Raw genomic sequence first — 14,561 nt, forward strand, 5'->3', positions numbered from 1 at the left:
GGTCTGGGAAGGGGTGCTCTTGTACCTTGGTTTTGTGTTTTGTTTTTGTTTGTTTTTTGAGACAGAGTCTCACTCTGTCGCCCAGGCTAGAATGCAGTGGTGCGATCTCGGCTCACTGCAACCTCTGCCACCCAGGTTCAGGTGATTCTCCTGCCTCAGCCTCCCGAGTAGCTGGGATTGCAGGTGCCTGTCACCACGCCTGGCTCATTTTTGTATTTTTAGTAGAGACGGGGTATCACTATCTTGGCCAGGCTGGTCTTGAACTCCGGACTTCGTGATCCACCCACCTCAGCCTCCCAAAGTTCTGGGGTTACAGGCGTGAGCCACTGCGCCCAGCCGCACCTTGTTTTTTTTTTGCTGCCTGTAGCTGTTTCTCATTAGCCTGATGGAGGTGGCTGTTGGGGTGGTGGGGTGCTTATTATAAAGCCTTCTGCTGTCACAGCCCTGGGGTCTCACTTCCTGGGCTCTCTGCATAGGGAGCCGCCCTCCAGGGCAAGGGCCACAGTGTGCAGTAAGCCCCCCATGGCCACAGGGCAGGGCGTTTCAAGCCAAGAGTCTGCACTGTTTGCTGGCCACTAAGGGCATTGAATGGATCACAAAACTGGCTTTTTTTTCCCCCAGTCAAATAGAAATGGGGTTTTGCCATGTTGTCCAGGCTGGTCTCAAACTCCTGGGCTCAAGCAATCCTCCCACGTTGGCCTCCCAAAGTGCTGGGATTACAGGCACGAGCCACCATATCTTTAAAAATGTAATAGAATGGAAAATGGCAAAGCGCGCTGCTTTTCATAGAAGAGACTATCGCATTGGGGTTCTTCTGTTGCCCCTGCCTGTGCTGCACGTCCTGCTTCACAGTGTAAAGCGCAACTCTTGCTGTGCCTTATTGTAACAGGTATAGGGTGGATGCTGCCATCATGAAGAGAGAGGAGAGCTCTTTGCTTATAAAATTCCGTAGAGTGGAGAACAGGATGTGCCGGCTTAGGAGAGGGAAGAGGTACAGGCCCGCTCTGCCCGAGCTGCAGATGGGACACACATTTCCCGACTCAGAGGGGAGTCGTGTCTTTCTCCAGGGTCACCGAGCAGCAAGCGCATCCACTGTGTGTTCTTATTTTCTGAGCCTGTGGACTGGGTTTACCAACAGTTGCCTGTGGCAGAGCCGGCCACCAGCCCGCTCATAGGAAAAAGGAAGCCTGTGCCTCCAGGGAGGGCCCACGATGGGAATGCAGTCTGAGAAGGGTATGTGCTCCCATGCTGGACCGGCTGGTCCCACACCCAGGACCAAAAACACCTCCTGGCAGGAGATGGGGAGATGTACTTCATGAACACACGTTGGGGAAGGACACTCCTGGAAGGCAGAGGCTCAAGGCGGGCTGTGTCCAGGCCAGGAGATTCACTCCCACCTCAATTTCCTCCTCAGCACGGCTGGCCTGGCACTGGTGCCTGCTTCAGAGTTTAGTGTGTGTAAAGTGTGGCTGGCCCAGCAAGCAGGGGATGATGGCGGTTGTCAAGGCCAGGGGAGGTGCAGGGACAGGATTCTGGCTCCCGTGTGTAACGTCTGCATCTCAGGAGGCTCTCATGTTAGAAGCTGGGTCAGGGGCTTCGTGATGCACACAAACACCAAACAAGCAGGAGGCCTTCCGGGATCCTGCTCACGAGCAGCTTCCTGGAGGCAAGCCTGGCCCGTCTGCCCCTTGGTGACATCAGGACCCCAGCAACAGAACCAGGGAAGCCACCATGTTGTCGCTGCCATTTTCCAGCGTGGTAAACAGAAGCAAGACAAGGCGCACTCAGGACACCCAAACAGACGGCGGGGCCAGCCAGTGGCATGGGCGGGCTGCCCTGCCCTCTGGAATTTTCTGGGAAAGAACATAAGGAAAGAAGCGGTGCTGATGAGGCAGCTGGAGTTATCAGGACCCAAGCTCAGCTCCTCCTTCCCATCAGGCCCCGTTGGCCACTTTTAGGCTTCGTCCGCCTGGTGGCTCCCTGCTTGGGGCCGTTCCCTGGCTAGGCCCTTCCTCTGGGCCAAAGCAGAGAGGAGAGCGCGTTTGCCATGCGTTCTCATTTTCCCAGCCTGCGGGCTGGGTTCTGTCAGAGCAAGGTCAGCTCTCAGAGCTTCTGTCCCCACCCACCCTGTCCTGCTGAGCCAGGCTCAGGTATGGGTAAGAGCTGGGAGCGCTGTGCACGAGGCCTGGCAGCATCTCATCACTGCCGCTGTACCGAGTGCACAAGGGCGCTTCCTGTGGTGTTCAGGGGGTTAGATCAGTCCCCAGTGAGGACAGAGCAGAGATCCAGATGCATCCCAGGCCGGCTGCAGTGGCTTCTGCCTCTAATCCCAGCACTTCGGGAGGCCAAGGCAGGCAGATCACGAGGTCAAGAGATCGAGACCATCCTGACCAACATGGTGAAACCCTGTCTCTACTAAAAATACAAAAATTAGCCGGGTGTGGTGGCTGGCATCTGTAATCCCAGCTACTCGGGAGGCTGAGGCAGGAGAATTGCTTGAGCCCAGGAGGCAGAGGTTGCAGTGAGCCGAGATCATTCCATTGCGCTCCAGTCTGGCGACAGAACAAGACTCTGTCTCAAAAAAAACAAAAAACAAAAAAATGTATCACAGGCCTGTTTGTGTGGTTGTCTCTGGGAAATGTTCCAGAAGCTACAAGAAAGCACATGTGCAGGCCAGGCATGGTGGCTCACACCTGTAATCCCAGCACTTTGGGATGCTGAGGCGGGCTGATCACCTGAGGTCGGGAGTTTGAGACCAGTCTGACCAACATGGAGAAACCCTGTCTCTACTAAAAATACAAAATTAGCCTGGCATGGTGGTGCACGACTGTAAAAAATCCCAGTGACTCCAAAGGCTGAGGCAGGAGAATCTCCTGAACCTGGGAGGTGGAGGTTGCAGTGAGCCGAGATCGCACCATTGCACTCCAGCCTGGGCAGCAAGAGCGAAACTCCGTCTCAAAAAAAAAAAAAGCGCATGTGCAAGAAATAGCTCCTGAGCTGAGTTGGAATTTCTCATCCTTAAACAATGTGGGAACCTGCTGAGGTGGGGTGGGGGCTCCCGGGTGGGCGGACTCGGGGGTGATAGCCGCCGGTTCTGCCTTGCAGCAGCAGTGGACGTCAGCTCAGCGAGGTCTTCATCCAGCTGCCCTCGCGAAAGGAGCTGCCCGAGTACTACGAGCTCATCCGCAAGCCCGTGGACTTCAAGAAGATAAAGGTAACCCTGACGTTGTACCTGCGCCCCGCATGTGCCCGGAGGGGAGTCTGACCCAGGGGCACCCCCATCTGAGAGCTGTGGTGTGTGGGCAGAATGACCAGAAACCACCTAGGCGGTGCCTTGGGCTACCTGGTTAGGGACCTGGTCGTGGGCTTTTGGGGTTCCTTGTAAGGGTTGGGGGTGTCCTGAGGGATGTCAGTGGGCAGTCGGTGTTGGGTGTTCCTTCAAGGTCCCACTCACTTAGTGCTGGGCCTCAGTCATGCAGTTCCCATGCCTAGTGAGCCAGGTTACCGAGGCTGGCGCTTCGGCCACATCCTCATAGGCACGAGGAATCCTAGCCCGTGGGGTCTCCAGCACACAGCCAGGCCTGCGGGCAGGCGAGGCGGGGTCCTGAGGTAAGACCTGCTCCTCCCGTCCACTGCAGGAGCGCATTCGCAACCACAAGTACCGCAGCCTCAACGACCTAGAGAAGGACGTCATGCTCCTGTGCCAGAACGCACAGACCTTCAACCTGGAGGGCTCCCTGGTGAGGGCACCGCTGGGGGTTGGGGATGGGCCACTCCCACAGCTGGGCTTTGACCCAACCCGCCCCTCCTTCCCTTCTGAATTGATGGGTTAAAAACAAGTCCCGCTAGCTGTGGTGGTTCGTGCCTGTAATCCCAGCACTTTGGGAGGCCAAGGCGGGAGGATCACTTGAGACCAGGAGTTCACGACCAGCCTGGGCAACATAACAAGACCCTGTCTTTAAAAAAAAAAAAGAAAAAATTAAAAATTTCCAACTTGGGATATTTTAGCAATTACAAAAGCAGTATGTATTTACCGAAGAAAATAAAGATAGGCACAACAGAAGAAATAGACTCAGAGTCCTCTGTCTGTTGGAATTTTATTTTAAATTCCCTGGGGCACATTCTCTTCAAAGGAATCCTGTGGGTTTGTTCTTTCCTGTGATAGAATTGACACATACACAGCCTCAACTTGGCAAACTTTCTTAAGTGTCTTTGGGATTGATTCCTCTCAGAAAAAAGACTTGACTTTGATGAGTTTGGGAAAGATGCTGGCTTCAACAAGGGGCATGTATTTCCAATGTTATTGCAGACCTCAGAGATTGTGCAGAAGGAGGGAGGCACCTGCAGCTATTCCCAAACCAGTGTGCCTGACCTTTCACCCTGGAGCATTTCAGAAGTCTGATGCTCGGGCCCCTATGGAGGAAGATTATGGAGAGGGCCTTCCACCCTGGGTGGGCTGAAGCCCCGACCCGCTGAGGCTCGCATTGGCCACTGATCAGCTGTCCAGGGGCAACACAGGGCTGGGGCTGGGGCTGGGGCCAGGGCCGGGCAGGCAGCCCTCCAGTCGGGCCCATCCACTCAAGCCCCTGGTGTCTCTGCCCAGATCTATGAAGACTCCATCGTCTTGCAGTCGGTCTTCACCAGCGTGCGGCAGAAAATCGAGAAGGAGGATGACAGTGAAGGCGAGGAGAGTGAGGAGGAGGAAGAGGGCGAGGAGGAAGGCTCCGAATCCGAATGTGAGTCCCGGGGGGGTTCAGGACGCCGGGGTTCACGCTGGCCCGAGAGCCCCCAAGGCCCCAGCTTTTCACAGCCCTCCCGGCTCCCAGACGCCCCTTGCTGTGGGGGTGCTGCATTCCCAGAGCTCAAGGCTGTCTTTCCCTCCCGGTCCCCTCCAGCTCGGTCCGTCAAAGTGAAGATCAAGCTTGGCCGGAAGGAGAAGGCACAGGACCGGCTGAAGGGCGGCCGGCGGCGGCCGAGCCGAGGGTCCCGAGCCAAGCCGGTCGTGAGTGACGATGACAGTGAGGAGGAACAAGAGGAGGTGAGGCCGGGCCCCCGAGCAGGCAGAGCTGGCATGTGGCAGGAGGCATCCCGGGGCCCTGATGGGACAGCCCTGTGGGGCGGTGCTCCCACGCCCCCACGCTGCAGGTGGGAAAGCTGAGGCTTGACCTGCCATGGCTGACCCCAGGTCACACAGCCAGTATGTGGCAGGGCTGCCACTCAAAGCCAAGCCTGTGTGACCCCGGAACCAGCTCTCAGTACCCGTGGGTGTCTGGGGACTGGGGGACACGTGAGTCCTCAGGACAGGCAGCAGGCGGTCCCAGGGCACCAGGGCTCCTGGGCTGAGGCCGGGCAGGCCAGGGCTTGATTAGGGTTGGGTAGGAGGTGCTAGGATTGGGGACCCACCAGACAGTGCCCCGTCTCCTCAGTGGCATAGAGAATGGGCAGAAACGCCAAGACCACAGTGGATAGTTTTTGGGGTGCAGTGGGGAGCCGGAGAAGATCCACTTGCTGGCTTTAAATAATCTCACCTCTGTCTCTGGCCCTTCCTGGCTGTGGGACCTGGCAGGTCACTTTGCTTCTCAAGCTTCAGTTTCCTCTTATGCAAAGCAAGGAGGCTGCATGGATTAGGGGGCTGCCCCCACCGAAGGGCCTGGCTCCCGCTGAAGCCCAGCGAATGCCATTTTGTCATCACAGAAGCAGCAAATTTCAGTGCCTGGGAATTAGTCTGACGAAAGACGCACGTGACGTTTGAGGACATTCATGAAGTCCTCATGTGGAGGGGAGGCCCCTGTGTCAGGCAGGAGGGTCTGGGCTGTGATGCTGTCTCTCTTGCCTAATCCAGAGCAGGGTGTTTTATGGCCCATGCCAGGCTGTTTAAAAAGGTTTTATGAGGCCAGGTCCAGTGGCTCACACCTGTAATCCCAGCACTTTGGGAAACTGAGGCAGGAGGCTCACTTGAGCCTGGGAGGTCGAGGCTGCAGTGAGCCGTGATAGCACCACTGCACTCCAGCCTGGGCAACAGAGCAAGACCCTGTCTTTAAAAAAAAAAAAAAAAATATATATATATATATATATATATATATATATATATATGAAAGAGCAAAGATCTTTCACAGTCAGGAAGAACCAAGATGGTTTGGAAGCTGTAGGTCAGGGGCCAAGGGCCAGGCAGGTGACATGGGACAGAGCAGGGAAGGCACGTGGAGCCTCGAAGGTCCCGAGAGGGCCGAGTGTGGTCACAGGGACTCGTCCTGTAGAGAAACATGAAGTTTGGGCATGGCCATGGCGCCATCTCGGCTCACTGCAAGCTCCACCCCCCGGGATCGCGCCATTCTCCTGCCTCAGCCTCCCAAGTAGCTGGGACTACAGGCGCCCGCCACCACGCCCGGCTAATTTTTTGTATTTTTTAGTAGAGACGGGGTTTCACCGTGTTAGCCAGGATGGTCTCGATCTCCTGACCTCGTGATCCGCCCGCCTTGGCCTTCCAAAGTGCTGGGATTACGGGCGTGAGCCACCGTGCCCGGCCCACATCAGTGTTTTCTTGAGCAAGTTTATTTAAAGTTTGGCAGGTCCCTGGCAAGGTGCCCTGGCAGGGGTGGCCAACGCACACTCTCTCCTCCTGTCCCCTCTCCAGGACCGCTCAGGAAGTGGCAGCGAAGAAGACTGAGCCCCGACATTCCAGTCTCGACCCCGAGCCCCTCGTTCCAGAGCTGAGATGGCATAGGCCTTAGCAGTAACGGGTAGCAGCAGATGTAGTTTCAGACTTGGAGTAAAACTGTATAAACAAAAGAATCTTCCATATTTATACAGCAGAGAAGCTGTAGGACTGTTTGTGACTGGCCCTGTCCTGGCATCAGTAGCATCTGTAACAGCATTAACTGTCTTAAAGAGAGAGAGAGAGAATTCCGAATTGGGGAACACACGATACCTGTTTTTCTTTTCCGTTGCTGGCAGTACTGTTGCGCCGCAGTTTGGAGTCACTGTAGTTAAGTGTGGATGCATGTGCGTCACCGTCCACTCCTCCTACTGTATTTTATTGGACAGGTCAGACTCGCCGGGGGCCCGGCGAGGGTATGTCAGTGTCACTGGATGTCAAACAGTAATAAATTAAACCAACAACAAAACGCACAGCCTTGCCTGCAGGTGGACTTGTGCCTGGCTCCCACCGTTTCTGCCAGCAGGAGTGGCGGGGGCCACCTCATGTCCAGGTCCCTGTCCTTCTCCTGGCACCAGAACCCATGGGGCCCGTTTCACAGAGGAGGATACTGAGGCCCCGGCAGGGGAAGAGGACTTGTCTGGTCACGCGTGTGGCCTTTGCCACTGCAGGTCTCCAGCATTTGTTCAGCTGAGACCTACAGTGCAGGGAGCAGGCAGCTCCATCCGTTCCCTGCCCGTGGCCCAGCCTGGGTTGGGGAGACCATCACAGAAATGGGCAGATGCCACATAGAGCTCTCAGGGCCATGATGCAGGAAGCTCAGGGCATAATGGGAGCCCAGGTGGTCAGTGAGGGAAGGGACGGAGCCGCCTGCTCCCTTTCAAATCCAGAACATAATTTGAGTTTTTGTTTTTTTGTTTTGTTTTGTTTTGTTTTTGAGACGAAGTCTCTGTCACCCAGGCTGGAGTGCAGTGGCATGATCTCGGCTCACCGCAACCTCAGCCTCCTGGGTTCCAGTGATTCTGCTGCCTCAGCCTCCTGAGTAGCTGGGATTACAGGGGTGCGCCACCATGCCCAGCTAATTTTTGTATTTTTAGTAGAGATGGGTTTCATCATGTTAGCCAGGCTGGTCTCAAACTCCTGACCTCAGGTGATCCACCTGCCTCGGCCTCCCAAAGTGCAAGGATTACAGGCATGAGCCACTGTGCCCAGCCCCTAATTTGTGTATTTTTAGTAGAGGCAGGGTGTCACCATGTTGGCCAGGCTGGTCTCAAACCCATGACCTCAAGTGATCCACCCACCTTGGCCTCCCAAAGTGCTGGTATTACAGGCATGAGCCACCGTGCTTTGAGTTTTTTTACAGTAAGTCTTGGCCGGAGTGCAGTGGCTCAATCTTGGCTCATTGCAACCTATGCTTCCTGGGCTCAAGCAATCCTCCCACCTCAGCCTCCTGAGTAGCTGGGATTATAGGTGCACGCCACCATGCCCAGGTAATTTTTGTTTTTGTTTTTGTTTTTGGTGGAGACAGGGTTTTGTAATGTTGCCCAGGCTGGTGTCAAACTCCTGGGTTCAAGCAGTCCACCCGCCTCAGCCTTTCAAAGTGCTGAGATTACAGACGTGAGCCACTGTGCCTAACCAATTTGAATTCTTATCATTTTTGTCTGTTCATTAAGAGCCATTATTAGTGGGTCACTGTCGTCATACTTGGCTTTAATTCTTGAGATGTGGTTTCTTCTAGCTCTTTGAACCTTTTTTTTTGTTTTGTTTTTAATTGAGACAAGGTCTTGCTGTGTCACCCAAGCTAGAGTGCAGTGGTGTCATCACAGTTCACAACAGCCTTGACCTCCTGGGCTCAAGTGATCCTCCTGCCTCAGCCCCCTGAGTAGCTGGGACCACAGGTGCACACCAGCACACTTGGCTAATTATTATTATTATTATTTTTTTTGTAGAGATAATGTTTCGCTTTGTTGCCCAGGCTGGTGGTCTGAACTCCTGAGCTCAAGTGATCCTCCTGCCTCAGCCGCTCTATTTTTTTTTTTTAATCGAGACATGGTATTGCTCTGTTGCCCAGGCTGGAGTGCAGTGGTGGGATGGTAGCTCAACTTCCAGAGCTCAGATGATCCTCCCTCTTCAGCCTCCAGTGTATCTGGGACCACAGACATGCACCACCCAGCCCAGCTTGAACCTGTTTTTAGTAGCTGCTTTGAAGCCTTTTGGTCCAACATCCGGATCCATTCCTCCACAGAAAGGTTCTGTTGACTCCTTTTTGTCCTCAGCGTAGGTCACACTTTCCTGTTTCTTCACATGTCTGGCAAGCTTTTGTTGTCAGAAAGTAGACATTGTATTTTTATTTATTTGTTTTTAATTTTGTTATGTTTTTGAGATGGAGTCTCTCACTGTCGCCCAGGCTGGAGTGCAGTGGTGCGATCTCGGCTGACTGCAGCCTCCGCCTCCTGGGTTCAAGCGATTCCCCTGCCTCAGCCTCTGGAGTAGCTGGGATTACAGGCACCCGCCACCACGCCCGGCTAATTTTTGTATTTTGTATTTTTAGTAAAGACGGGGTTTTACCATGTTGGCCAGGCTGGTCTCGATCTCCTGACCTCAGGTGATCTGCCCACCTTGGCCTCCCAAAGTGCTGGGATTAAAGGCGCGAGCCACCGCGCCTGGCCTTGTTTTGTTCTTAATTGTTGTTTTTCTTTTCTTTCTTTCATGTTTCCCCTCGGAGACAAGGTCTTGCGCTGTCACTGATGCTGGACTGCAGTGGTGCAGTTTCAGCTCACTACAGCCTCCCGGGCTCAAGCCATCCTCCCACCTCAGCCTCCCGAGTAGCCGGAACTACAGGCTTGTGCCACCACACCCAGCTAATTTTTTTTTTTTTTTTTTTTTTTTGGTAGAGACAGGGTTTCTCCATGTTGCCCACGGTGGTCTTGAACACCTGGGCTCAAGTGATCTGCCCGCCTCTGCCTCCCAAAATGCTGGGATTACAGGTGTGAGCCACCGCGCCTGGCCCAATTCTCATTTTTATTTAGAAGGAGTCACCCCTGGGTCAGCCAAGCTGAGACATCAGTTGGTGGTTGGTCAGAACTTGTGCCCAAATATGCTGAGTCAGCGGCTCTGCCCGGGCCCAAATGCTGAGTCAGCACCTCTGCCCGGGCAGTCTGCAGGCTGGCCCTACCTTTGCTTTCTGCCTGTGGTTCCTATCAGGGCACGCACTTCAGTTCTGTTGGGCAGGGAGACGTGCATCAGACTCTCTCCAGGGCATATGTGCTGTCTTGCGCTTGCGCGTGGCCTCCCAAACCCCTAGGGATACCTGGGGCCAGCTGGGGCAGTCTCTGTCTCGACCTCCTTTTCCATTTCTGGCTAGTTTACCAATCTGTTTCATCCTTAGGCCAGCTGATGACCTTGGCCCTCTCCTCCCGAGATCCCTGCAGCTTCCAACAGTGAGGCCCTCCAGCAGTGAGGCTGCTGATTTTCATGGCCTGGCTGGAGCTGGGGGCCCAGGCCAGGAGCAGCCCCAGGCAAAAATCACCTCCCGCTGCTCTTCCCTGCCACTCAGTACTTTTTCTGGAATAAACATTTCCTCACTGGGTGAACACCTTTGACGAGATCTTCACAGTCCTGGGATGGTTGCTTTGGACAATTCTGTTTAGCTTTATTGTTGCTTTTAGGGAGAGGATTTGCCAAGATCTTCACTCCACCATTTGGGAAAATCCACATTTCGTTTGTTGCAATAGCTTTGGCTTTATTTTAATAGATTATAATTTATTTATTTTTTATTTATTTATTTTTGAGACAGGGTCTTGCTCTGTCACCCAGGCTGGAGTATAGTGACATGATCTCTGCTCACTGCAACCTCCGCCTCCTGGGCTCAAGCAATTCTGCCACCTCAGCCTTTTGAGTAGCTGGGATTACAGGCGTGCACCACCATATCTGGCTAATTTTTTTGTATTTTTAGTAGAGACAGGATTTTGCCACGTTGCCCAGGCTGGTCTCAAACCCCTGGGCTCAAGCAGTCTGTCCACGTTGGCCTCCCACAGTGCTGGGATTACAGATGTGAGCCACCACTCCCAGCCAGAATTTATTTTAACGTTTATGGAAAACCAACTCACCAAACCTATGATTTCATGGTTTTCAGAATGAGGCCAATTTAAAAATAAGTGCCTTAGTCTGGGGGTGTTGGCCCATATCCATAATCCCAGCACTTTGGGAGGCTGAGGCAGGAAGATTGTGAAGATTGCTTGAGGCCAGGAATTTGAGACCATCCTAGACGACATAGAGACCCCCCATCTCAACAACAAAAATAAAAAAATTAGCCAGGCACAGTGGTACACATCTGTAGTCCTAGCTACTTGGGAGGCTGAGGCAGGAGGATCACTTGAGCCCAGGAGTTCGAGGCTGCAGTGAGCTGTGATCCCACCAGCGCACTCCAGCCTAGGAGACAGAGGAAGACCCTGTCTCAAAAAAAAATTTTTTAAGGAAAATTTTTTAAGAAAAAAAATGAGGGGAGCCTACAGAAATAACTTTGAGTGTCCACCTGTGCAAAACCCATGTCATGGGGACACAGGGACATGTTAGCTGTGGTGCAGATGAGTGGTCCGGGCTGCAGGCCTGTCTGACTCAGGTCTCAGACATCGGCTTTGGCCTGAGGGCCTGGAACCAGCTTGGTCCCCATATGGCAGTGGCCCCAAGCCAGGGGCCTTCACCTGTGTGACCTGGTGACAGCTGCTGGCTGGCTGCTGCCCTTCCTGACCTTTGCTCTCCACACCTGCCCCTCTCGCAGGCCTTTCCTCTGTCTTTCAGTCCCGCTGGCCAGTGCCCTTCTCCCAACAACCCCAAGGGCTGGGGGACTTCATTCCTGTTTCCCAGATGACACAAGTGGAGCTCGGGGAGGTTGAGCCAGTGGCCTAAGGCTACACAGATCTGAGCTTGGGTTTGGGGGACATGAGACTCCTCAGGGGCTGCCACCTGCTCTGGGGTCTGGAGCAAGGACCCTGAGACTTGAAAGTTGAAATGGCGCCTGGAACCAGGTGGTGGACTAAGCAATGGCGGGCAGGTCGGTGTGTCCCCAGGAGTCAGGAGAGGCTGCCACAAGACAGGAGTGAGCAGGACCTTAAAGCTGAAACGCCGGATGGTCAGGGCATGATGGGACCTGACACGGCCTGGACTAGGAGGGGGTGGGAAGAATAATACGGGACATCATATGTGGCAGGGGGTCATGCGCTTTCCCATCCAGCCATCTAGGCTGGCTCTCCTAGATTCTTTTTGTTTTGTTTTGAGACAGAGTCTCGCCCTGTTGCGCAGCTGGAGTACAGTGGCACCATAGCCTCTCGAGTAGCTGGGACGACAGGCGCGCACCCACACCCAGCTAATTTTTGTATTTTCAGTAGAGACGTGGTTTTGCCATGTTGGCCAGGCTGGTGTCAAACTCCTGACCTCAGGTGATCCGCCTGCCCCATCCTCCCAAAGTGCTGGGATTACAGGCATGAGCCACCAGGCCCGGCCTCTCCTAGAGTCTTGCTTCCATCAAGTCATGGAGTCTCCTTTTCCTTCCCTGGAGTTTGAGTGTACTTGGGACTCACTGGTAACCAACAGAGTTCAATGGAAGTGACATCATGTAACTACTAAGAGTAGGTCACAGAAAGCACAGCTTCCGCCTTGCTTGCTCGCTCACTCTTGAATCACCAGCTGCCATGTAACAGCCTGACTTCCTGGAGCCTGCCATTTTGTGAGGAGGCCCAACCAAGCCCATGCTATAAGGCCACCAAGACCACGGGAAGAGAAAGCAATGGCTGCCCCAGCCCTAGCCCTCAGCTGTCACCAGCTGCATCAGAGACCCTGAGCCCGTACCGCCGAGCTGAGCCCTTCCCACATTCCTGACCCTTAGAAACCACAAGAGCTAATAAACACATTGTTTTAAGCCACTAAGCTGTTAGGCAGCAACAGTACTGGAACATCATAAAATAATTTTTTAAATGACAGGGATCTAATTAAACGTGGAAGGATCTTGAGAACATTGTTGAGGATAGAACAGCAGGCTGCACAGTGAAGCAAATGTCCAGCAAGATGGACACACACTGGATCCTGGATATGTGTTCTGGACCATGTCACTAGTACATCACATTTAGAGAAAGCTGTGTCAGGACCCACCCCAAACACAAAACAGCCTGAACTGCTGCTGTTACCCTTGGCAGTGGGGGAGGGAAGGGTGGCGTTAAGAGATTCCCCAAGATGGTGAGGTCACCTGGCCATTTTATTTTTTATTTTTATTTTTTATTTTTGTATATATATATATATATATATATATATATATATATATATATATTTTGAGACAGAGTTTTGCTCTTTTGCCCAGGCTGGAATGAAGTGACGCAATCTCAGCTCACTGCAACTTTTCCCCCCAGGATCAAGTGATTCTCCTGCCTCAGCCTCCCAAGTAGTTGGGATTATAGGCACCCGCCACCACGCCCAGCTAATTTTTGTATTTTTAGTAGAGGCGGGGCTTTGCCATGTTGGCCAGGCTGGTCTCAAACTCCTGACCTCGTGCCACCCACCTCGGCTTCCCAAAGTGCTGGGATTACAGACATGAGCCACTGCACCCGGCTGCCTGGCCATTTTAAGAGCCACTTTTTGGGCCGGGTGTGGTGGCTCATGCCTGTAATCCTAGCACTTTGGGAGGCCGAGTTGGGCAGATCCCTTTTTTTTTTTTTTTTTTTTTTTGAGGTGGAGTCTTGCTCAGTGGCCCAGCCATGAGCGCAGTGGTGCAATCTTGGCTCACTGCAACCTCTGCCTCGGGTTCAAGCGATTTTCCTGCCTCAGCCTCCCATGTAGCTGGGATTACAGGCACGTGCCACCATGCCCAGCTAATTTTTTGTATTTTTAATAGAGACAGGGTTTTGCCATGTTGGCCAGGCTGGTCTTGAACTCCTGATCTCAAGTGGTCTGCCTGCCTCAGCCTCCCAAAGTACTGGCCCAGTTTCTGTATGTTTGAATAGAGACAAGGTGTCACTATCTTGCCCAGGCTGATCTCGAACTCCTGAGCTCAAGGGATCCTCCCACTGCAGTCTCCCAAATTGCTGGGATTATAGGGTGTGAGCCATTGCGCCCAGCCAGAACCTCTTCTTGATTCCTCACCAATGTTTTGGTCAACAGCACACTTGGATTCTAGTTTCTGTCATGGTCTCAAAGATTTCTACTGAAATAAGACCGTTCTTGGTCGTGCCTTGTGGCTCAAGCCTGTAATTTGAGCACTTTGGGAGGCCAAGGTGGGCGGATCACTTGAGGCAAGGAGTTTGAGACCAGCCTGGCCAACATGGTGAAACCCCATCTCTACTAAAAATACAAAAATTAGCGGGGCATGGTGGTGCATGCCTGTAATCCCAGCAACTCAGGAGGCAGAGGCAGGAGAATCGCTTGAACCCGGGAGGCGGAGGTTGCAATAAGCCAAGGTCATGCCACTGCACTCCAGCCTGCCCAACACAGCAAGACTATGACTCAAAAAAAAAAAAAAAAAAATTCTTACCTGCTGGAGCGTTAATATGAATGAGGTGTCCAGAGCCCAGCTCCTCCTGATCCACCCATGTCTGATTCTGCTTCTGTGTCCCCACCTCACAAGTGGCCACTGGCCTACAAGGAGTCCATGTCAGCTGCCATCCCTTTCCATCAGGCCACACCAGCCGATCCCCCCTCACCCACTCATTCTCCTTCCTAAATATCCCCTCAACCCACCCACCTCTCTCTCCACCCTTGACCTTCACCTGCACCAGCCTCAGCCTATAGCTGGCCTAGACCAGCATGGTCAACTCCTTGGTTTCTCCGCTTCCACCCACGCTGCGCTCCATGTGGCCAGAGGGTTCTAAACTCTTGCAGTTCCTCAATGCACAAGGGGGCCTGGTCAGCTGAGCCTGGC

General features: G+C 53.4%; 1 protein-coding gene across 25 annotated transcripts in view, besides 1 other annotated feature; it reads left to right on the plus strand.

The window, feature by feature from the left end:
* The window catches only part of SMARCA4 (SWI/SNF related BAF chromatin remodeling complex subunit ATPase 4), a 101,244-nt gene extending 94,120 nt beyond the window's left edge, over nt 1–7,124 (plus strand). For 16 of the 25 annotated variants that reach the window (XM_011528198.2, NM_001128844.3, XM_024451658.2 and 13 more), the window contains 5 exons: nt 3,106–3,214; nt 3,639–3,740; nt 4,604–4,736; nt 4,896–5,038; nt 6,635–7,124. In XM_011528198.2, coding sequence (XP_011526500.1) covers nt 3,106–3,214; nt 3,639–3,740; nt 4,604–4,736; nt 4,896–5,038; nt 6,635–6,667 — 520 coding nt within the window. In that variant the 3' untranslated portion in view covers nt 6,668–7,124. The remainder of the gene's footprint in view (nt 1–3,105; nt 3,215–3,638; nt 3,741–4,603; nt 4,737–4,895; nt 5,039–6,634) is intronic. The other 9 variants (NR_164683.1, XM_047439249.1, XM_024451663.2 and 6 more) reach the window with 1 other exon arrangement.
* Nucleotides 1,464–1,963: an enhancer, noted in NCBI's record as "H3K4me1 hESC enhancer chr19:11167289-11167788 (GRCh37/hg19 assembly coordinates)". NCBI's record gives its function as "activates a minimal SCP1, AML or CMV promoter by ChIP-STARR-seq in primed H9 embryonic stem cells {active_cell/tissue: H9 hESC(primed)}" and the evidence as "EXISTENCE:reporter gene assay evidence [ECO:0000049][PMID:30033119]".

This window comes from Homo sapiens, chromosome 19 (genome assembly GCF_000001405.40).
Source record: "Homo sapiens chromosome 19, GRCh38.p14 Primary Assembly".
Taxonomy (NCBI): Eukaryota; Metazoa; Chordata; class Mammalia; order Primates; family Hominidae; genus Homo; species Homo sapiens.